Source organism: Homo sapiens, chromosome X (assembly GCF_000001405.40).
Source record: "Homo sapiens chromosome X, GRCh38.p14 Primary Assembly".
Taxonomy (NCBI): Eukaryota; Metazoa; Chordata; class Mammalia; order Primates; family Hominidae; genus Homo; species Homo sapiens.
Window position 1 is genome coordinate 54,633,444 of NC_000023.11, and position 23,698 is coordinate 54,657,141.

Genomic DNA, 23,698 nt, shown 5'->3' on the forward strand with positions numbered 1-23,698 from the left:
TGGGCAGGGCCATAGAGCACCCATGAGTTTTATGTCTTTTGTCTTCAGCCACCAGGGCTTGTAGAGAAAGACCATCAGGTGGGGGCAGGGTTAGGCAAGTCTGAGCTCAGATTGTCTTTCAGGGGGACTTGCTGCGGCCAAAGAGAGGGATGGCAGGGGTGGTTCTCAGGCCAATGGAGTTATGTTCCAAGGGGGGATTATGGCTACCTCTGCTCCTTCATACAGGTTGCCAGGGAAGTGGGGGAAAAGCCAGCAGTGACAGGCCTCACTCAGTTCCCACACAGCCAGCAAGGCCAGTCTCAGTCCCGCCATGCTCCTCCAACAGCCAACAGAGCTGAATTTGTATCCAGGCCTCTGGTATGCAGGGCTGAGATCTTGCCTCTGGCTGCAAAGCTTCCAGCTGAGAAAGCAAGCAGGGCTTTCAGGCCTCACTCCTTCCTGCCTTCTGCAGCTGGATAGATAATTCTTGGCTAACAGTTTCAGCATTTAAAGTATGTCATCTTAGTGTGTTTTGGCCTTCATGATTTCTGGTGCGAAATCAACTGTCAGTTGTATCAAGGATCGTATGTAATGAGTCACTTCTTTCACTGCTTTCAAGATTCTCTTTGTCTTTGTGTTTTAACAGTTTGACTCTAATGTGTCTCAGTGTGTGCCTCTTTGAGAGTATGCTGCTTGGAGTTCATATAGCTTCTTGGATTTGTAGATTCTTATTTTCCTTCACATTTGGGAAATCCTTGGCCATTATTTCTTCAAATATTATTTTGTTCTCTCTTCTCTTTCTTAGACTCAAATAATATGTATGTGGGTTAGCTTATGGTGTCCTATGGGTCCCTTAAGCTCTGTTCACTTTTATTCTTTTTCCTTTCCTTTTTTTTGAGATGGAGTTTCACTCTTGTTACCTGGGCTGGAGTGCAATGGCGCTATCTCGGCTCCCTGCCACCTCCATCTCCCGGGTTCAAATGATTGTCTTGCCTCAGCCTCCCAAGTAGCTGGGATTACAGGCATGTGCCATCACGCCCGGCTAATTTGTATTTTTTTTTGTTTTTGTTTTTTTGAGACGGAGTCTTGCTCTGTCACCAGGCTGGAGCGCAGTGGCGTGATCTCGGCTCATTGCAACCTCCACCTCCTGGGTTCAAGCGAGTCTCCTGCCTCAGCCTCCCAAGTAGCTGGGAGTACAGGTGCATGCCACCAAGCCTGGCTAATTTTTTTTTTTTTTTGTATTTTTAGTAGACACGGGGTTTCACCATGTTACCCAGGATGACCTCGATCTCCTGACCTTGTGATCTGCCTGCCTTAGCCTCCCAAAGTGCTGGGATTACAGGTGTGAACCACTGCGCCCGGCTCTTTTTTTTTTTTTTTTTTTTGAGATGGAGTCTCGCTCTGTCACGCAGGCTGGAGTGCAGTGGCATGATCTCGGCTCACTACAACCTCTGCCTCCTGGGGGTTCAAGCGATTCTCCTGCCTCAGCCTCCTGAGTAGCTGGGATTACAGGTGCCCGCCACCATGCCAAGCTAATTTTTGTATTTTTAGTAGAGACAGGGTTTTGCCGTGTTGGCCAGGCTGGTCTTGAACTCCTGACATCAAGTGATCCACCCATCTCGGCCTCCCAAAGTGCTGGGATTACAAGCATGAGCCACTGTGCCTGGCCAATTCTTTCTTTTCTCCTCAGACTTGATAATTTCGATTATCCTATCCTTAAGTTCACTGATTCTTTATTGTGCCATCTTAGATCTGCTGTTCAATACCTCTAGTCAATTTTTCATTTCAATCATTGTACTTTTCAGCTCCAAAATTTCTGTTTGGTTCCTTTTTATGCTCTGTCTTTTAAATTGATATTCTAATTTTGCTCATACGTCATATTCCTAATTTCCTTTAGTTATTTGTTCATGTTTTCCTTTAGTTCTGTGAGCATATTTAAGTCAATTGTTTTAAAGTGTTTGTCTATTAAATTTGATGTCTGGACTTCCTCAGGAATAGTTTCTGTCAATTTAGTTTGTTTCTGTAAATGGGCCATAATTTCCTATTTCTTTGTATGTTTTGTGATATTTTTTGTTGAAAGCTATATGTTTGAATATCATAAAATGTTAAGGGGGTACATTAAATTCTCCTTTTTCCTCTGAGTTCGCTGTTTATTTAATTTATGTGAAGGCTATAGTAGTCCATTTGTTTAGTGACTTTCCCAAAGTACTTTTAGGAAGACCGTTTTTTTGTGTGTGTAGTCATTGATATTTCTGTTTTTCAGTTTGTGCTCAGCTAGTGTTTTGATAGGATTTCCTTGAATGTCAGGAACTAAAAAAAAAAAAAAAATCAATCAAACAAACAAAAATTACCTCCCCCACCTCATCCTTGCAGAATCATTTTGTTCTAGGGCATTTTTTTTCAACACCTAACTAGGCTTGCACTAAGCATAGGACTCAGCCAGTGGTGAAACATTAGAGTTTTCACATGTTGTTTTTCTGAGGATGTGTCTTGTGTGGAGCATGCACATGGCTTTCTAAATCTCCCCATATATGTGGCTTCTTTTGAATGTCCGAATTTCTCAAATAAACTCTCCCCAGCTCTTGCTCTCAGTCCTTAGGTGGTCTGTTTTGTTTTGATCATAATCTTTTCCCCTGAGATCTGCATATTGCTCATTTTTTCTTGCATTGATTTTGAGCTTGCCATTTTATAGCCTCAGTTCTGAGTGAAGTGAAACACAGATGAATACTTTATGTCAGTCTTTTAGCCCCAAGGCAGGTTAGAACATACATACACAACAATATGCAAATAAGGTCTGCTCTGTTTCCTCCAGGATCAGGAACAAGTTTCCCGCAGGAGAATGTGGACTTTCCTATTCAAGACCATGACTGCACTGGAGAGGAGGTGGGGCAAGAGCAAGTAAATATGCCATAAAACTTTCTTACCATTTTGAAGTTGCCTTTATCTTTCTTTTTTTCAACTTTTATTTTAGGTTCAGAGAGTACATATGCAAATTTGTTACATGGGTAAGTTGCATGTCACTGAAGTTTGGTGTACAAATGATCCCATCACCCAGGTAGTGAGCATAGTATACAATAGGTAGTTTTTCAACCCTGGCCCCCTCCCCCTCCCACCTCTAGTAGTCCCCAGTGTCTATTGTTCCCATTTTTATGTCCATGTGTACTCAATGTTTAGCTCCCACTTATAAGTGAGATGTGGTATTTGGTTCCCTGTTCCTGTGTTAATTTGCTTAGGATGATGACCTCAAGCTGCATTCATATTGCTGCAAAAGACATGATTTCATTCTTTTTTATGGCTGCACAGTATTCCACAGTATATATGTATCACATTTTCTTTATCCAATCCACTGTTGATGGGCATCTAGGTTGATTCTGTATCTTTGCTATTGTGAATAGCACTGTGATGAACATACACATGCATGTGTCTTTTTAGTAGAATGGTTTATTTTCCTTTGGGTATATGAGACTTCCAGTAATGGGATTGCTCAGTCAAATGGTAGCTCTGTTTTAAGTTCTTTGAGAAATCACACTGCTTTCCACAGTGGCTGAACTAATTTACATTTCCACCATAAGTGTATAAGTGTTCCCTTTTCTCTGCAACCTCACTGGCATCTGTTATTGCCTTTTTCTTTATTCAGCATTTGCTTGGTTGCTATAAACTTTTCATTGTTTTCCAGAGTTTTGAGAAAGTTGGTTCTGTCAGTTTCTGCTTGATTATCAGTTTCTGTAGGGGAACAAGAGCTTGGAGCTGCCTACTTCACCATTTTGCCAATGTACTACTGCCTCCATCATTTTCTACTGCCTTATCTTCCTTCTTTATTTTTTTCATTGTACATATTATGACCCCGAAATTAAATTCCAAATGTATTTCTTGACTTGGTAATTGTCTGTTTCTCTCAGTAGAATGTTGGCTCCAGGAGTACAGGGACTGCATCTGTCTTATTTACCCTTGTGTACCGCTAGAAGTGTCAGGCTGTGTGTGTGTATACACACATATATATTTTGCAGTTTGTATGTATACACACATATACACACATGTGTGCACACATGTGCATGCACACACACACACATATATATCTCACTATCTACTTTTGAATGAATGTTATGCCAGTAGTTCCCAATACTGGTCTGTCATCTTGTGCAAGGGCCTGATATAGTTTTTGCCAATCTGCAGTAAAATGAAGATAAAAAGGACACTGTAGTGTATATTTGATTTAAAGGCCTCTGCTTTATCTTATTTACTTGCTAATTTGTGCAAAACTGCAAAAGATATGTATAAATCAGGGAAATGTAAATACTTGGATATTTTATAATATTAGGAAATTATTCTTAAATTTTTAGATATTCTGTGGTATTATGGTTATTATTATAAAAGAGTTCTTATATTTTAAACACATGAACTCAAATATTTATGGAGAAAATGGCGTCTAGCATTTGCTTCAAAGTAATCTGGGATACGATGTGTGTTGGGGTTTGAGATGTAAGATGCTTGGCCAGGAGGTGATAATTGAGAAGCTGGGTGAGAGGTACTTGGGGGTTCATTTACTCTTCTTTCTACTTTTGCATATGTTAAAAATTTTCATATTAAAGATAAATTAAAAAGTTCGTTCCTTTAATGGGGGATTATGTGTAATTGTCTTTTCTTAAAATGATGGTGATAGAAGGCAGTAGTTTGTTTTTAGTGTCCTTCTTCCGCAATATTTTATCCATCCTTTGCAATTTTTTGAAATATTGTTTGGGCTGTGAAGTCCTAAACTCTTGGGACTGTGAACTTGTGGGACTGGATCTGATCACATGAGGCCACAAACATTTACTGACAAGATCCTGGGTGCCAGACCCTGTTCTGGACTAAAAATATACAGCGAATTAGACACAGTCCACATTCCTGAGAATTGCTGTAGAAAATGAGGTAAGAAATGTAAAATCCTTCACACAGTGCCTGATACAGTGTAAGTGCTCAATAAACATTAAGTATCATCATCACCACCCTCACTACTATCATCATCACCTTCGATATCTTTCCATGTCAGTTTATATATAGCTCATTAAATTAATTAATTAATTAATTGAGATAGTCTGGCTCTGTTGCCCAGGCTGGAGTGCAGTGGCGCAATCTCCGGCCCACTGCAACCTCCGCCTCCCGGGTTCAAGCGTTTCTCCTGCTTCAGCCTTCTGAGTAGCTGGGATTACAGGCGCCTGGCTAATTTTTGTATTTTTAGTAGAGACGGGGTTTCACCATGCTGGTCTCGAACTTCTGACCTCAGGTGATCCACCCACCTCGGCCTCTCAAAGTATTGGCATTACAGCCGTCAGCCACCATGCCCGGCCTATATATAGCCCATTTTAAACTGATAAGTTTATCAACCATCTCCTGCCCCCACTGATACTTTCAATTTTTCGTTATTGCCAACAAATCAGCACGGCTTACACTTGTTCATAAGGCTCCTTGCAGTTTTTTGTCCTCTAGATCTAAGGTTCTTAAAGTGTGGTCTTGAACCAGTTTGCCCCAGCATTACCCTGGAAGTTGTTAGAAACACAAGTTCCTAATCTCTGATAGTAGATGGGCCACAACAATCTGTGTTTTAACAAAGCCCTGTAGGTGATCCGCATACACTTCTCTAGGAGTCTTGGATGTATATATATGGAAATGGGATTGCTGAGCCAATAGGATATATACCTTTAAAATAATGTTTTTTAAAATAAAATAGAGAGGGAGGGTCTCACTGTGTTGCCCATGCTGGTCTCAAACTCATGGACTCAAGTGATCCACCCACCTTGGCCTCCCAAAGTGCTGGGATTACAGGCGTTACATTAAAAAAAATTTAATAGTCAAAGAGCTCTCCAAATCAGGCACGAACTTTTACTTATATATTAAGGTCTTACTTTGAATAGGGTTACTAAGCCTGCTGAAATAACCCCTTTTCTTCCGGTACCCACTTTCATCCGACGTGCCCCGCCCGCCCGACTCGATTGCATCAGCCTCCTGTCAGCCCCGCCCCAGTGTACTTGCACTCGCAAGCGCAGCTGGGTTATCTTGGGACTAGACGCTCACGGGGCGGGGCTTCGATTCTCACTCTTGGAGCGGGGAGGCCAAAAGAGTCGGAAAGGGGCGTTATCTCTTTCGGAAGTGAGTGGGACAATGGCGAGCAAGCGGTCGTGAGCCTTGAGCTTTGCAGCTTTTCTTGGCTCCCATTTCCTCCTAAAGCCACGAGTTTACCAGCGTCTCTTACAAGTAGTGTGTCGCCACTTTAAAAAAAACATCAGGAAAGGAAAAGGGAGAACCCCGGAGCCCGAAGCTACGCCCGCCTGCGGCAGGGGTGCGCCAATTGTCCAGTGGTGAGGGCGCATGCGAACCATTGACAATGACGTAATCTTGCAGCTCACAGCCGGAGTGAGGCTTTCGGGGAGGGAGGAGCTCCGGTGAGAGTAACAGGGTCGGATTTGTCTGGGCCAGGCCCAGGCTGAGACGCCTACTAGGGGATGGAGGGCCCCAGAAGGAGGGAGAGGGAGGAGTCTTGGACTCTCTCGGAGAACGAGGCTGGGGCTGGCCACCGAGAGTGGAAGCCGCTGTCCAGAGGTTAGAGCCACCCAAGAGCTGGTAGTCGAGTGGCCGCCAGGGGGTGACCGTGCCTGCGTACGTCCACAAGTGGGCCCATAAAGACTGGCCCATATATTTTTGAAACTGTTTATTTTTGTATCTGTTTCCTCTTCTGCCCTGACATCCCAGAGAAAGAGTTGTGGGTGATTGACCTTTGAATCACCAGCACCTCGGGGAGGGCCTGGTACAAAGAAGACACATTTTTAAGGCGGTTGATTGACGGAAGGAAAAGACTGAAAAAACGAAAACAACAAGCCAAAAACCCCAAACCCAGAGATACCCATACATGACATAAAGTTAAGGCCTTTTTAAAAAGTAATAATAGAGGAGAAATTTTAAATGTCCATCAGCAGAGCTTGAGGCCATGCAGTTTTTAGGTTGTTGCAGTCAGAGTGTACACACAACCCTGCATCCTTAGTTATGGCATAATAATTTTTCTCTGTTGCTATAGAATCTCCACAGCCGTCATCTCTCAGCAATGGTTGTAGAATGTTCCATTAGACAGCTGTGCCACAATTCACTTAACCCTTCTCTTGTTGGATATTAAAACTACTTTCTAGTGTTTGACCACCAAAATATATCTCTGCAAGGAATAATTTTGTGCTTAGAGCTTTTCCTGTAGGAGTAGGGGTGGGTGGATATCGATTTAGGAGCAGAATTACCAGGAAAATGTCATAAACATGTTTTAGGCTCTTGTCGACCCGCTTTCCTGAAAGGGATCATACCCGTTGACATCAGAAGCCAAGTCCGAAATCAAACCTGGTGGACTCCGGGTCTTGTCTGTCTCCAGGCTGGTTTTAATTTCCGTATCCTGCAGCAATGCAGAAGTTTATTATTAGTTCTGACCTTTGGGGCAAGGCAAACACACACCAAAGGTTCGGGGACAACTTTAGCAACTGCAACAGCTGACATTGTGAGCGGGTGCAGCTCAGGTTTCAAGCTTGAGCAACTGGGTTGGATGAACTTGCCTCACTGAGACAGGGAATCTGAGAAGAGGAACAGGTTTGGGAGGGAGCAGATGAGATCAGTTTTAAATACATTTAGTTCGAGGTGCCTTTGGGACATCTAAAGGGAGGTATCCAGGAGACAGGCATACATACGGATAAACAACAGTTTTTGCCCTTCTCTGAACTCCCAGAGCTCCCTATCTGTGGATTTCTCATGGCTCAGTTTGCCTTTTACCTTTTACTATCCTCAGAGCTCCTTGAGGCCAGGATAAGGGCCTCATTCATTTGTGTATCCTTCCTCCCAGTGCCCAGTACAGTGCTTTATACCTAGAAGGCCATAAAAGTCTGTCCTGTATAATGAAATTTCATTGATTTCTTAATTGGATGATTCCTGCAGTAGGGGTCCTGATCTGGGTGAAAAAGTTTGGGAACCTTAAGAGTTCTGGGAAGGCTTCCTGTAAGAGGTGGCATAATGTTACCGTGAATAATTATGACTATTTGTTGAACACCTGCCATGTTCCAGTCACTCTGCTGCACACATGCATCAGAGATGCCACCACTATCTTTGATGGCCACTGGCCATCTTTACATCCCCTTCTGGGAGCACTGGCTCTACTTACAGCTCCTACCAAATGATCAAGCAAGGACTAACTATGTATTACATCCACCCTTCCTTTAGGATACAGCACCTGATCCAAGGCCAGCCCACAACCTGTGAGTTGTATGGCCCAGCTTTAGAAGATGAGGTGGGCCAATCAGATTGCTCTCTTGGGAATGTGAAATAAGAGATCCAGAGGAGAGTTGCCAGTTAGTTGTGGGGAGCTGAGCTGACAGGTCCAGTAGACCAGGATGCTGGGTAGGTGGGTGCAGCATTATGAATCAGGTCAAGTGCCTGTTAAAATCCTGGGGGAGCAGTTCAAGGTGGTTGGCTGAATGAGGAAGCTGGGGCAGATGTACAGAGAGAAGCAGACATGTAGTGCAGATGAATTACATTAATGGTAAAGCTCCAGAGCAGAGGGTCCATGCCTCATCCAGAAATTTCCTGCAGCTCCAGGCTTAATAAGCTTTATCTGTACTTCACTTCCTGCCCTTGGATTTCTGATTCGTGATCTAGCTTCACTGGGTTTCTGTTCCTTGCATCCAAAAGAGTCTTAACAAAAACAGCCTTTTAAATAGGTTTAATTTAATTTGCACTTCGGCCCTCTGAGGTGAGTGTACTTTTCCTCATTTTACAAGTGAAGAAACTGAGGCTTAGTGAGATTAACTTGACTAAGGTGACACAGCCAGTGATGGAGCTGGTCTGTCAGATTCTCTTAATCTTTTTTTTAAAAGCATTAATATGTTATTTTTATTTTTAAAAATGACCACAAGCTTGTCATATAAAAACAAAAGCAATCAATACAGACATAATCTGATCTGAACATCAATCAGCTCCTTCGACTCTTCCTTTCATTTATTTCCTTTCAATGTAAAGGAATGTAGCTCCAGCTACATTGGCCTCTGTTTCCAGAACACGCCAAGGTTGTTCTCACCTTTGGTCCTTTATACTGAGTGTTCCTTCTCTTTATTTAAAAAAAAATTTTTTTTCCTTCGCCAGCTTTAAACAGAGAGTCCCTTCTCTTTGTAATGCTTTTCCCCTTGCTTTTCCAGTGGCTGGCTCCTTCTTGTCATTGTCTTCACTCAATTGTCACTTCTTCAGAGAGGACTTTGCCAAACCACGCAGTATGAAATAGCCCACACAACTCTTGGCCCCACTGCTTTCTGTCATATAAACTCCTTTTTATTCCCTGCATAGCCCTTGTCACTGTTTGAAATTGCGTTGCTCATTTATGTAATTGTTTATTGTCTGCCTCCTCTTCAGAAATGAGAACAGAAGCCTTATCTGTATCCTGAGGATCTAAAACTGCTGGTATGTAAGTTCAATCAATATTTGTAGAATAAATGAATGTATAAACTAAAAACAAAGTTCTCATCCAATGCTTTTCTCTCCTAATACCAATCTCCAGAGACAGTAACTGTTAACAGTTTTGTCTACATCTTCCCATTTTCCATGCATATACAAACAAGCATGTATCTTTCTGCATAAAGATAAATATGAATATATGCTTTTGTTTACACCAATGAAAGTTCTATAATTGCCTTTTTCATATAACACTTAACATCTTCCTGTACCAATACATATACATCTACCTTATTAAAAACAAGACAAAACAAATTCATATTATTACAATGTATGGAGTTACCAGAATTTATTTAATTGGATGTCTTTTAGTGGTTATTTTTTTCTAATTTTTTGTTTTTATGTGTTGTAATATTGAAATAAATATTCTTATTATATATGTATTTGCACAAATGTCTCCCACACCCATTTGTTGTCTTTTGTCTTTGCTTGTGGTATATGCAAAGATAAACTTTGTTTAAACTTATATGGTTAGGTTTACCAATCATTCCCTTTATGGTTTTTGGGTTTTGTTTTCTTTTTAAATAATTTAATTTAATTTTAATTTTTATGGGTACACAATTTAATTTTTATGGGTTGTACATGCCTATGGGTTACATGTGATATTTTTATACCTGTTTATGATGTGTAATGATCCAGTCAGGGTAATTGGGATAACCATCACCTCAAACATTTATCATTTCTTTGTGTTGGGAATATTCCAAATCTACTCTTTTAGTTATTTTGAAATATACAATAAATTATTGTTAACTATAGTCACCCTATGGTGCTACCAAACACTAGATCTTATTCCTACCATCTAACTGTATTTTTGTACCCATTAACCAACCCCTCCTTATCCCCACCTCTCCACTACCCTTGCCAGCCTCTGGTAATCATCCTACTACTCTCTACCTCCACAAGATCAGTGTTTTCTTAACTCCCACGTATGAGTGAGAACATGTGATATTTGTTTTTCTGTGCCTGGCTTATTTCACTTAACATAATGTCATGCATGTTGTTATAAATGACAGGATTTCACTCTTTTTGTATGGCTGAATAATATTCAATTATGTATATATACCACATTTTCTTTATCAATTCATCCGTTGATGGACACTTAGGTTGATTCTGTGTCTTGACTATATTGAATAGTGCTACAATAAACATGGGAGTGCAGATATCTCTCCAATATACTGATTTCCTTTCTTTTGGATGTATACCTAGCACTGGGATTGCTGGATAATATGGCAGTTCTAGTTTTAGTTTTTTGAGGAATCTCCAAACTGTTTTCCATAGTGGCTGTACTACTTTCCATTCCCACTAACAGTGTACAAACATTCTCCTTTCTCAGCATCCTTGCCAGCATCCGTTATTTTTTGTCCTTTTGAGAAAAGCCATTTTAACTGCAGTGATTACAAATACTTTACCCACTCCAAAATTATGTATTAAAAATGATTCATCCATGTTGTCTGCTAGTACTTTTATGGTTTCAGTTTTACAGTTAAATCTTTGATCTATCTGGAATTTATTTTGGGGTAGGATTTAGGACAGGGATCTAGCTTCTTTTCCTTTCAAATGCTAAGTCTACTGTCTCTGTACCATCTATTGACTAATAATTATTGACTCATTGAATTGGAATGTCACCTTTATCAAATATGGAGTTTTCATATGTGCTTTTGTTTATTTCTGCACTATTTTATTCTATTGATCTGAATGTCTGTGCCTGCACCAGTGCCACCCCATTGTAATTAATGTAACTTCAAAATATATATCTTCATATCTGGTTGGGCAAAGCCTCTTTTGCTTCTTTTTCAGAAAATTTCTGCCTGTTTTCACATACTTATTCTTCCAGGTGAATCTTAGCACACATTGTGAAAGTAAAAATAATATAAAATTGCCTATTGACATTTTGACCGGGATTATATTGAATTTATAGGTTAATTTAGAGAAAATCATTGTCTTTTATAATATCGAATCTTCCTATTGGAGAGTAAGGTATGGATTTCTAGTTATTCAATTTTTTATGTTAGTAGAATTTTAAAGTTTTATTTTTATATGTTTTATGTGTTCCTTGTTAGGTTTATTCCTATTTTAGTTGCTATTGTGAAGGGGATATTTTTCCCTTATCTTTTTGAACTGGTTGTGGGAAAGCAATTACCAGTACGTCACTAAATCCTATTATTGTTTTTAATAGGTTTTCCATAAATTTCCTCAGGCTTTCAAGTTACACAGCTATGTCATCAACAAATAGAGATTATTTTGCTCCTATAATAGCTATCCCAAGTTTGTGCCTCATTTAATTATCTTGTCTAATTGTGTTATGTATTGCCTTCAGAATAGTAATAGTGGTGATAATGGGGCTTGCACCTTTTCTCTGACTTTAATGGAGAGTCTCACATTTCATTATTCAGCATGATACTGGTTTTCGGTTAGAAATATAGAGTATAAAAAGTATGTCAAGAAAGTATCCATTCCTAGATAACTAAATCAGAAATACATCTTGAATTTTGTTAAATTCATCTTTTGGGCATCCATTGAGATGACCGTGTGGGTTTTTTCATTTGACCTATTAGTACAATGAATTATGTGTATTTCCTAATATTGAATAACTCTTGCACTCTTAGAATGGACCCCACAGTTTTTACTTCTTCAATTTACTGCTGAATTCCATTTGTTAATATTTTATTTATTTTACATCAATATGTATAAGTGAGATTTGTCTGTGGCTTTCTTACATGTGAACTTTGTTCGGAGTCCATGCATTTCCCAAACTGTTTTTTGTAGTCCCTGACCATTCAAGGACTGAAGATGTGCCTATATTAAGGGAGGACTCCACTGAATGCCAGCCATCCATCCCTTCCATGTTTCTTTGCTGCATATTATCGTTTCTGAGACATTTTATATGCTCCTTGGATATCTATGGGAATAAACATCATTAATTGTAAATGTGGAGATGCTAGCACAGATTGTTTAATCCAAGTAGACTATTTAAACAAACTGCAGTGGAATTTACTGAGAAATGATAAATGATGGCTATTCTATTATTTTATGTTTGTTCTTTAAAAAATCAATATTGTTTATAAAGGTAATTATTACTTTGTATTAAGTGATTAATACAGTATTAAAGGCTCTTAATAAAAAAAGTCAGCCTCCATCCTATCATTCCACATACCCTATTCTTCTTTCCATGTCAACAAATGCAGTTCTAGCTGTTTCCCCTCATATTATGTCCATATTTCTATATAATGTGCATATATTGCTATTTATTTATTTTAAAATAATAGACTTCATATTTTAGAGCAGTTTAAGGTTTATAGAAAAAATGAATGGTGGCTGGGCATGGTGGTTCACGCCTGTAATCTTGGCACTTTGGGAGGCCGAGGCAGGCGGGTCACTTGAGGTCAGGAGTTCGAGACCAGCCTGGCCAACATGGAGAAACCCCATCTCTACTAAAAATACAAAAATTAGCCAGGCATGGTGGCACGCGCCTGTAGTCCCAGCTACTCGGGAGGCTGAGACAGGAGAATCGCTTGAACCCGGGAGGGGGAAGTTGCAGTGAGCTGAGATCACTGCACTCCAGCCTGGGCGACAGAGCGAGACTCCATCTCAAAAAAAAAGAATGGAAAGTACAGAGAGTTCCTATATGACCCCTCTCCCCACTCCTCCCTGCCCACCAATTTCCCCTTTGATTAATATGTTGCTTTAGATATTTAGATTAAAATATTTTAGATATTATTTTAAAATATATTTTAAAATATTTAGATATTTAGATCAAAATGGTATATTTTTTATAATTATGAGCCATTATTGATACATTATTATTAGCTAAATTCCATAGCTTACATTAGGGTTCATTCTTTGTGTTGTATATTCTATGGGTTTTGACAAATGTATAATGACGTATCCACTGTTATAGTGTCAGAGAAAATAGTTTCACTGTCCTACAATCCCTTGCGATTTGCCTATTCATCCTTCTCTTCCTCCTCCAGAAATGCTGGCAACCACTGATCTTTTTACTGCCTGGAAAGGGGAGTTTTTGCTTTTCCCAAAATGTCATATAGTTGGAATCACACAGCCTTTTCACGTTGGTTATTTTCACTTAGCAATATATATTTAAGGCTTATCAATGTCGTCTTGTGGTTTGGGAGCTTATTTCTTTTTATTGATGAATAACATGCCATTCTATGAAGGTACCAGAATTTGTCCACTCATCTATTGAAGGACACTGTGATTGCTTCCAAGTTTTGGTAATTCTGAATAAAGCTGCTGTAAATGTTTCTGTGCAGTTTTTGCATAAACATAAATCTCAATTCATTTGGGTAAATATCAAGGAGTGCAATTACTGGATCATATGGTAAGAGTATGTTTAGTTTTGTAAGAAAATGCCAAACCATCTTCCACAGTGGCTACACCATTTTGCTTTCCTACCAGCAATGAATGAGAGCTCCTGTTGCTCCACATCCTCGCCAGCATTTGGTGTTTTCAGTATTTTGAATTTTGGCTATTCTAATAGGTGTGTAGGTGTGTAGTGGTATCTCTCTTTCTCTTTTTTTTTTCTTTTGAGACGGAGTCTGGCTGTGTTGCCCAGGCCAGAGTGCAGTGGTGCCATCTCAGCTCACTGCAACCTCCGCCTCCTGGATTCAAGTGATTCTCCTGCCTCAGCCTCCCTAGTAGCTGGGACTACAGGCACCCACCACCATGCCTGGCTAATTTTTGTATTTTTAGTAGAAACAGGGTTTTGCCATGTTGGCAAGGCTGGTCTTGAACTCCTGGCCTCAAGTGATCCTCCTGCCTCTGCCTCCCAAAGTGTTGGGATTACAGGCGTGAGCCACCGCGCCCGGCCTCATTGTTTTAATTTGCATTTCTCTGATGACATATGATGTTGAGCATTTTTTCATATGCTTGTTTGCCATCTGTGTATCTTTCTTGGTGAGTCATCTCTTCAGATCTTTTGTCCCAATTTTAATTGCTTCCTTTTTTTTATAGTTGAGTTTTAAGAGTTCTTTGTATATTTTGGATGTAAGTTCTTTATTAGAAGTATTTTGCAAGTATTTTTTCCTAGTCTGTGGCTTTTGTTTCATTTTCTTTACAGTGTCTTCCTGTGTCTATGGTTGAATATATGTTATTAATTTTGAAAAATTCTCAATCATTATTACTTCAAAGCTTTAGTTTGTCTCTTTCTCTATTTGCCTTTTGGTATTCCCAATATGCATATGTTACCCTTTTTGTAATTGTCCCACAGTTCTTGGATATTTTGTTTCATTTTTCTAATTCCTTTTTCTCTTTGTATTTCCATCTTGGAAATTTATATTGGCATATCTTCAAGCTCACTGATTCTTTCCTTGGCTAGGTCCAGTCTATTGATGTGCCCATCAAAGGAATTCTTTATTTCTCTTATGGTGTTTCTGATTTCTAGCATTTCCTTTTGATTTTTTTTCTTAGAGTGTCCATCTGCCTGCTTGCTTCACCTATCCATTTTTGCATATTGTCCACTTTTTCCATTAGAGCCCTTAGCATATTAACAGTAGTTAATCTAAAGTCCTGATCTGATAATTTCAAAATATCTGCCATATCTAAGTCAGGTTCTGATGCTCACTCTGTCCCTTCAAACTGTGTTTTATTTTTTAGTATGCCTTGTAATTTTTTTGTTTAAAGCTAGACATGATGCAATGGATAAAAGTAACTTGGTACTGGTTCCAGTGGTAGGCTTCTGCTCCAGTAAGCTGTGATTTTCTGTATTTGCTTATAGCTCCAATTTTTGGAGTAGCAGTTTGCCCTGTGACCTCAATGCCTTGATAGACCTAAGAAGAGTTGTTTAGTTTCAGCTTGTTCAGATTTTTTCTTATTGTGAGGACAGAGGCAACAACTTCCAAGCTCCTTCTGTGTTGGACTAAGAGTTCTTACTTATTTGTTATTTGTTAACATCGTTTATTTTAAAAACAGCTTTATTGAAGTATTATTTACATACATTTAACTGCACCCATTTAAAATGTGCAATTTCATCAGTTTTAATATATATATCATAAGACAATCACTATATTTAAGATAAAGAACATAATTATGCTGGGCGCAGTGGCTCACACCTGTAATCCCAGCACTTTGGAGGCCGAGGGGTGTGGATCACCTGAGGTCAGGAGTTTGAGACAAGCCTGGCCAACATGGTGAAAACCCGTCTCTACTAAAAATACAAAAATTAGCCAGGCATGGTGGCAGGTGCCTGTAGTCCCAGCTACTTGGGAGACTGAGGCACGAAAATCGCTTGAACCCAGGAGGTGGAGGTTGCAGTGAGCTGAGATCGTGCCACTGCACTCCAGCCTGTGCGACAGAGCCAGATTTCATCTAAAAAAAAAAAAAAGATAAAGAACATAATTATTATTTCTCAAAATTTCTTATTTCCCTTTGTAAATCTTTCCTCTTGCTCTACTACACTTTCCCAAGGTTTATTAATTTGTTTTCTGTTACAATAGACTAGTTTGCATTTTCTAGAGTTTTATAATCTGGATTTTTTCATTCAGTATAAATATTTTGAGATTAATTGAGTTTGTTGTGTGTATAAATAATTCATTTCTACATATTACTGAATAGTATTCCATTGTATGACCATACCAAATTTGTTTACCCATTCACTTGTGGATTGATATTTAGGTTGTTTCTAGCTTTTGATTATTACAAACACAGCTGTTATGAACAAGTGGACATTTGGTGGACATTTTGTGGACATTTGGTTATTTCTCTTGAATAAATTCCAAGGAGTAGAATGGCTTGTTTATATGGTAGGTGTATGTTTCATTTTTAAAGAAATTATAATTCTTACATATAAATACAACATTCTCCAAGATGGAGTACATGTTTGTCACAAGATGGGTCTTAACAACTTTAAGAAGATTGTTATCATACCAAATATCTTTTCTGACAATAGTGGAAGGAAATTACAACTCAGTAGCAGTGGGAAATCTGGAAAATTCACAAATATGTGGAAACTAAACAGCACATTTTTGAAAAACCAATGGGTCAAAGAAGAGATCCAAATTAGAAAATATCTTGAAACAAACAAAAATACAACATACCAAAGCTTATAGGATGCAGCAAAACCTATACTAAGAGGTAAGTTTATAAATACCTACATTAAAAAAGAAGAAAAGAAGAGGGACAGTACAAGATGGCAGAATAGAAGGCTCCACCAATAGTCCCCCATACAAGGACATGATTTAACAATTATCTATGCAAACAAAGTACTTTCAGTACTTTCAGTACTTTTCAGGTGAGTACTCACAGTACTCGATTTTAACATCACGTCACTGAAAGAGGCATGGAAGAGGGTAGGAAAGAGTCTTGAATTGCTGCTGCCACTTATCCCCCATCCCTTGGCAGCTGGTGCATGGCATGAAGAGAGAATCTGAGCACTTGGGAGAGGGTGAGTGCAGCAATTGTGAGACATTGCAGGGAACTCAGTGCTGCCTTTTCATAGCAGAAAGCAAAACCAGGCTGCACTCAGCTGATGCCCACCCACAGAGGGAGTATTTAAACCAGTCCTAGCCAGAGGGGAATTGCCCATTCCCAGCAGTCAGAACTTGAGTTCTGGCAAGCCTCACCACCACATGCTAAAGTGCTCTGGGGCTCCAAATAAACTTGAAAGACAATTCTAGGCCACAAGCATTGCAACTCCTAGGTGAGTCCTAGGGCTGAACTGAGTTCAGAGCCAGTGGACGAGGCGGGGGGAGGCATGTGACCTATTGGAGACACCAGCCGGGCAGCTAAGAAAGTACTTGAATCACCTCTACCCCAACCCTAGACTCCACAGCTCCTGGCTCCAAAAGAGACCCCTTTCCAGGCTGTAGCTCCCAGAGTAAATTTCTAGACACACCCTGGGCCAGAAAGGAATCAACTACCTTGAAGGGACTCTAGTCCCTGACTCCTGGATGGCACCTCTGGACCTGCCCTGGGCCTGAGGGAGCTCATCACCCTTAAGGGAAGGACACGGGCCTGGCTGTATTTTCTACCTGCAGATTGTAGAGCCTCAAGGCCTAGAACGAACATAGGTGGTAGCCAGGTAGTGGTTACAGTGGGCCTTGGGCAAGACTCAGTGCTGTGCTGGCTTCATGTATGGCCAGTACAGTCCCAGTGGTGGGTGCTTGTGTCACTCCACCCTCAGCTCCAGGTGGCCTAGAACAGAGAGAGAGAGAGAGAGAGAGAGAGAGGTTCTGTTTGGGAGAAGAGAAAAAGAGTCTCTCCCTGGTAATCCAGAGAATTCTTCCAGATTTTTTTTTTTTTTTGAGACGGAGTCTCGCTCGTTGCCCAGGCTGGAGTGCAGTGGTGCAATCCCAGCTCACTGCAAGCTCCACCTCCTGGGTTCATGCCATTTTCCTGCCTCAGCCTCCCGAGTAGCTGGGACTACAGGTGCCCGCCACCACGCCCGGCTAATTTTTTGTATTTTTAATAGAGACGGGGTTTGGTTTCACCGTGTTAGCCAGGATGGTCTCAATCTCCTGACCTCGTGATCCGCCCGCCTTGGCCTCCCAAAGTGCTGGGATTACAGGCGTGAGCCACCGCGCCTGGCCAAATTCTTCCAGATCTTAAACAAGATCACCAAGGTAGTATCTCTTTGAGTCAGCAAGAACCACAGTGATATTGAGGTTGGGGTGTTCCCTAATACAGATAGAGCTTAGATCACAAAACCCAAGTTCCTTTGGATACATGGAAAGCTTTCCCAAGAAGGAACGGTACAAACAAGCCTAGATTGTGAAAACTACAATAAATACCTAACTCTTAAAATGCCTAGACACAGATGAACATCTGTAAATGTCATCAAGACCATCCGGGAAAACATGACCTTGTCAAATGAACTAAATAAATCACCAGGGTTTATTAGTCACCAGGCACTAATCCTGAAGAGATGGATATATGTGACCTTTCAGATGGAGAATTCAAAATAGCTATTTTGATGAAACTAAAAGAAATTCAAGATAGCACAGAGAAGGAATTCAGAATTCTATTAGATAAATTTAACAAAGAGATTGAAATAAGAAGAATCAAGCAGAAATTCTGGAGTTGAAAAATGCAAGTGATATACTGAAGAATGCATCAGAGTCCTTTAATAACAGAATTGTTCAAGCAGAAGAATTAGTGAGCTTGAAGACAGGCTATTTGAAAACACACAGAGGAGACAAAAGCTAAGAGAATAAAAAACAATGAAGCACACCTACAAGATCTAGAAAATAGCCTCAAAAGGGCAAATCTAGAAGTTATTGGCTGCAAAGAGGAAGTAGAGAAAGAGATAGAGGTAGAAAGTTTATTCAAAGGGATAATAAAATCCCAAAGGCTGGGTGTGGTGGCTCATGCCTGTAATCCCAGCACTTTGGGAAGCTGAGGTGGGCAGATCACATGAGGTCAGGAGTTCAAGACCAGCCTGGCCAACATGGTGAAACCCTGTCTCTACTAAAAATAGAAAATTAGCTGGGCATGGTGGTGGGCGCCTGTAATCCCAGCTACTTGGGAGGCTGAGGCAGGAGAATCAGTTGAACCCAGGAGGCAGAGATTGCAGTGAACCGAGATCATGCCACTGCACTCCAGTCTGGGCAACACAGCAAGGCTCCATCTCAGAAAAAACAAACAAACAACAACAACAACAAACAAAAACAAAACCCAACAAGTGATAATAACAGAGAACTCCCCAAATCTAGAGAAATATATTAATATCCAAGTTCAAGAAGGTTATAGACTACCAAGCAGATTTAACCCAAAGAAGACTACCTCAAGGCATTTAATAACCAAACTCCCAAAGGTCAAGGATAAAGAATGGAACCTAAAAGCAGCAAGAGAAGAGAAACAAATAGCAGACAATGAGTCTTCAATATGTCTGGCAGCAGACTTTTCAGTGGAAACCTTAAAGGCCAAGAGAGAGTGGCATAATATATTTAAAATGCTGAAGGAAAAAATTTTTACCCTAGCATAGTGTATCCAGTGAAAATATCCTTCATAAGTGAAGGAGAAATATAGACTTTCCCAGACAAAGAAAAGCTGAGGAATTGTATCACCACCAGACCTGTTCCACAAGACATGCTAAATGGAATACTTCAGTCAGAAAGAAAAGAACATTAATGAACCATATCATCTGAAGGTACAAAACTTCTTGGTAATAGTAAGTACACAGAAAAACACAAGCTATTATAACACGGTAACTGTGGTGTATAAACTATTCTTACCTTAAGTAGAAAGACTAAATGATAAAGCAATAAAAAATAACTAGAACAACTTTTCAAGACATAGATAGTACAATATAATATAAACAGAAACAACGAAAGGTTCTAAAGTGGGGGGATGAAGTTAAGGTGTAGAGTTTTTTTAGTTTTCTTTTTGCTTGTTTGTTTATGCAAACAATGTTAAGTTGTTATCAGCTTAAAGTAATGGGTTATAAGATAGTATTTACAAGCCTCATGGTAATCTCAAATAAAAAAACATACAATGGATACAAAAAAAATAAAAAGCAAGAAACTAAATTATATTGCTGGAGAAAATCACCTTCACTAAAAGAAAGACAGGAAGGAAGAAAAGACGGAGAACACCACAAAACAACCAGGAAACAAATAACAAAATGACAGGAGTAAGTCCTTACTTATCAATAATAACATAGAATGGAAATGGACTAACCCCCCCAATCAAAAGACATAGAATGGCTGAATGGATTTAAAAAAAGTCTCAACGATCTGATTGCCTGCAAGAAACACACTTCACCAATAAAGATACACATAGGGCGTGGCATGGCGCGGTGGCTCACACCTTTAATCCCAGCACTTTGGGAGGCCAAGGCAGGCGGATCATGAGATTAGGAGATAGAGACCAGCCTGGCCAACATGGTGAAACCCTGTCTCTACTAAAAATACAAAAAATCAGCTGGGTGTGGTGGCACTTGCCTGTAGATCCAGCTACTTGGAAGGCTGGGGCAGAAGAATTGCTTAAACCCAGGAAGCAGAGGTTGCAGTGAGCCGAGATCGCACCACTGCACTCCAGCCTGGGTGACAGAGCGAGACTCTGTCTCAAAAAAAAAAAAAAAAAAAATACACATAGACTGAAAATAAAGGGATGGGAAAAGATATTCCATGCCATTGGAAACCAAAAAAGAGCAGGGATAGCTGTACTTATATCAGAGAAAACAGATTTCAAGATAAAAACCACAAGAAGAGACAAAAAGGTCACTATATAAAGGGGTCGATTCAGTAAGAGGGTATAATAATTGTAAATATATATGCACCCAATACTAGTGCACCCAGATTTATATAGCAAATGTTACTAGAGCTAAAAAGAGAGATAGACTCCATACAATAATGCCTGGAGACTTCAACACCCCACTTTCAGCATTGGACAGATCTTCCAGACAGAAAATCAACATAGAAATGTCGGCTTTTGTCTATAGTATACAACAAATGGACCTAATAGACACAGAACATTTCATTTAGTGGCTGCAGAGTACCCATTCTTTTCCTCAGCACATTGATCATTCTCAAGGATGGACCATATGTTAAGTCAAAAAACAAGTCTTAAAACATTCAAAAAAGTGAAATAATATCAAGCATCTTCTGTTACCACAATGGAATAAAACTAGAAATCAACAACAAGAGGATTTTTGGAAACTATAAAAACACATTGAAATTAGACAGTATGCTCCTGCATGATCAGTGAGTCAATGAAACAATTATGGAGAAAACTGATAAATTTCTTGAAACGAGATAATGGAAACACAACATACTCAAATCTTTGGAATACAGCAAAAGCAGTACTAAGAGGGAAGTTTATAGCTATAATTGCCTACATCAAAAAAGAAGAAAAGTTTTAAAAACAACCTAGTAATGCATCTTAAAGAACTAGAAAAGCAAGGGCAAACCAAATCCAAAATTAGAAGAAAAGAAATAAAAATCAGAGCAGAAATGAGTGAATATGAAATTAAGAAAACAATACAAAATTAAATGAAACAAAAAGTTGACATTTTGAAACCAAAACTGACAAATTATAGCCAGACTAACTAAGAAAAAAAGAGAGAAGACCCAAATAAATAAAATCATAGAAGAAAAAAGAGATATTACAACTGATACTGCAGAAATTCAAATAATCATTCATGGTTGCTATGAGCAACTATATGTGAATAAAACTGGAAAATCTAGAAGAAATTGATTAATTCCTAGACACATACAACCTACCAAAATTGAAACAAGAAGAAATCCAAAAGCTGAACAGGCCAATAACAAATAACAAGATGAAAGCCTTAATAAAACATCTCCAATCAAGGAAAAGCCCAGAACCTGATGGATTGACTGCTGAATTCTACCAAACATTTAAAGAAGAACTAATACCAATCCTATTCAAACTATTCCAAAAAAACAGAGGAGGAGGGACTACTTCCAAACTCAGTCTACGAGGCCAGCGTTACCCTGATCCTCAAACCAGACAAAAGCAAATAAAACAAAAACTATAGGCCAATATCACTGATGAATATTGATAGAAAAATCCTCAACAAAATATGAGCAAACCAAATTCAATAACACATTAAAAAGAACATTCATTAAGACCAAGTGAGATTTACCTGAGGGATGTAAGGATAATTCAACATATTCAAGTTAATTAATGTGATACATCATATCGACAGAGTGAGGGACGAAACCACGTGTTCATTTCAATTGATCCTAAAAAAGCATTTGATAAATGAATAAAGAGAATGTGGTATATACATACAATGGAATACCATTCCATTGTTTTTCTTACTGCTTTCAAAATATTCTCTTTTTCTCCATCTTTTCAACATTTTTGATATGTATCTGGGTATGGATGTCTAGTTAATCCTACTTGGATTTTGTTGAGCTTCTTGTGTTCATAGATTAATGCTTTTCATCAAATTTGGAAAGTTTTTAGCCTCTATTTATTGTAATATTTTTTTCTGCTCTTTTTTAGCTTTTCTCTCCTTGTACTCTTGTTGTGCATACATTGGTGTGTTTGATGATGTCCATATTTCTTTGAGGCTCTGTTCATTTTTCCTCATTGTGTTTTCTTTCTTTTTTTTGAGATGGAGTCTTGCTCTCTCTCAGGCTGGAGTGCAGTGGTGTGATCTCGGCTCACTGCAACCTCCGCCTCCCGAATTCAAGCGACTCTCTTGTCTCAGCCTCCTGAATAGCTCGGACTACAGGCGCCTGCCACCATGCCCAGCTAATTTTTGTGTATTTTTAGTAGAGACGGGGTTTCACCATGTTGGCCAGACTGGTTTCAAACTCCTGACCTCAGGCGATCCACCCGCTTCGGCCTCCCAAAGTGCTGGGATTACAGGCGTGAGCCACCACGCCTGGCCTATACTGCCTTTTAATATGTATAACATATATAGCCTCTTTATATATATAGCATATATACTATATTATATATATATCATTATGAGATAGTATAAACTATATATATAGATATATAAAATGCCTGGTATATATACTAAATATATTTTATATACATATATATATAAAGTACAAAACAAACCAGGCATTTTATATTTTTGTATATATAAGTATATATATGTAAAGTATATTTATATAAAGTATAAAATAAACCAGGCACGGTGGCTCATGCCTATAACCTAGTTCTTTGGTCAGCTGAAGTGGGAGGATCACTTGAGTCCAGGAGTTCAAGATCAGCCTGGACAACACAGGGAGACCTGTCTCTACAATAAATAAATAAATAAATTAAATTAGTTGAGCATGGCAACGTGCGCTTGTAGTCTTAGCTACTCAGGAGGCTGAGGTGGGAGGATTGCTTGAGCCCAGGAATTCGAGGCTGCAGTAAGCTGTGATCTCTGCACTCCAGCCTGGGTGACAAAGGAAGACCCTGAGTCTAATATATGTGTGTGTGTGTAGTTTGTATAGTTACCTGTGTAGTTACCTTTACTAGTGGTCTTTATTTCTTTTTATTTTTCTTTTTTTTTTTTAGAACGGGTCTCACTATGTTGACCAGGCTGGCCTTGAACTCCTGGGCTCAAGCTATTCTCCCGCCTCGGCCTCCCAAAGTGCTGGGATTACAGGTGTGAGCCACCATACCCGGCTGGTCTTTATTTCTTTATATAGATTTGAATTGCTGTTTAGTGTCCTTTTATTTCAGCCTTGATTAACTTCCTTCAGTATTGTTTGCAGTGTAGGTGTGCTACAAACAAATTCTCTCAGTTTTGGTTTATCCTGTAATATCTTAATTTCTGCTTCACTTTTTAAAAATA

The 23,698-nt window shown here is 39.4% G+C and overlaps 1 protein-coding gene across 2 annotated transcripts in view, besides 3 other annotated features; it reads left to right on the forward strand.

Annotated features, from left to right (window-relative positions):
* Nucleotides 1-12,411, forward strand: part of GNL3L (G protein nucleolar 3 like) — a 115,636-nt gene extending 103,225 nt beyond the window's left edge. For both annotated transcript variants that reach the window (XR_007068190.1, XR_007068191.1), the window contains exons 17-19: nt 2,792-2,862; nt 2,951-2,984; nt 9,385-12,411. The gene's annotated coding sequence lies outside the window, so the exon portion shown is untranslated. The remainder of the gene's footprint in view (nt 1-2,791; nt 2,863-2,950; nt 2,985-9,384) is intronic.
* Nucleotides 5,740-6,265: an enhancer, noted in NCBI's record as "H3K27ac hESC enhancer chrX:54665616-54666141 (GRCh37/hg19 assembly coordinates)". NCBI's record gives its function as "activates a minimal SCP1, AML or CMV promoter by ChIP-STARR-seq in primed H9 embryonic stem cells {active_cell/tissue: H9 hESC(primed)}" and the evidence as "EXISTENCE:reporter gene assay evidence [ECO:0000049][PMID:30033119]".
* Nucleotides 5,832-5,961: an enhancer, noted in NCBI's record as "active region_29674". NCBI's record gives its function as "activates an Ori minimal core promoter by ATAC-STARR-seq in GM12878 lymphoblastoid cells {active_cell/tissue: GM12878}" and the evidence as "EXISTENCE:reporter gene assay evidence [ECO:0000049][PMID:35858748]".
* Nucleotides 6,252-6,501: an enhancer, noted in NCBI's record as "active region_29675". NCBI's record gives its function as "activates an Ori minimal core promoter by ATAC-STARR-seq in GM12878 lymphoblastoid cells {active_cell/tissue: GM12878}" and the evidence as "EXISTENCE:reporter gene assay evidence [ECO:0000049][PMID:35858748]".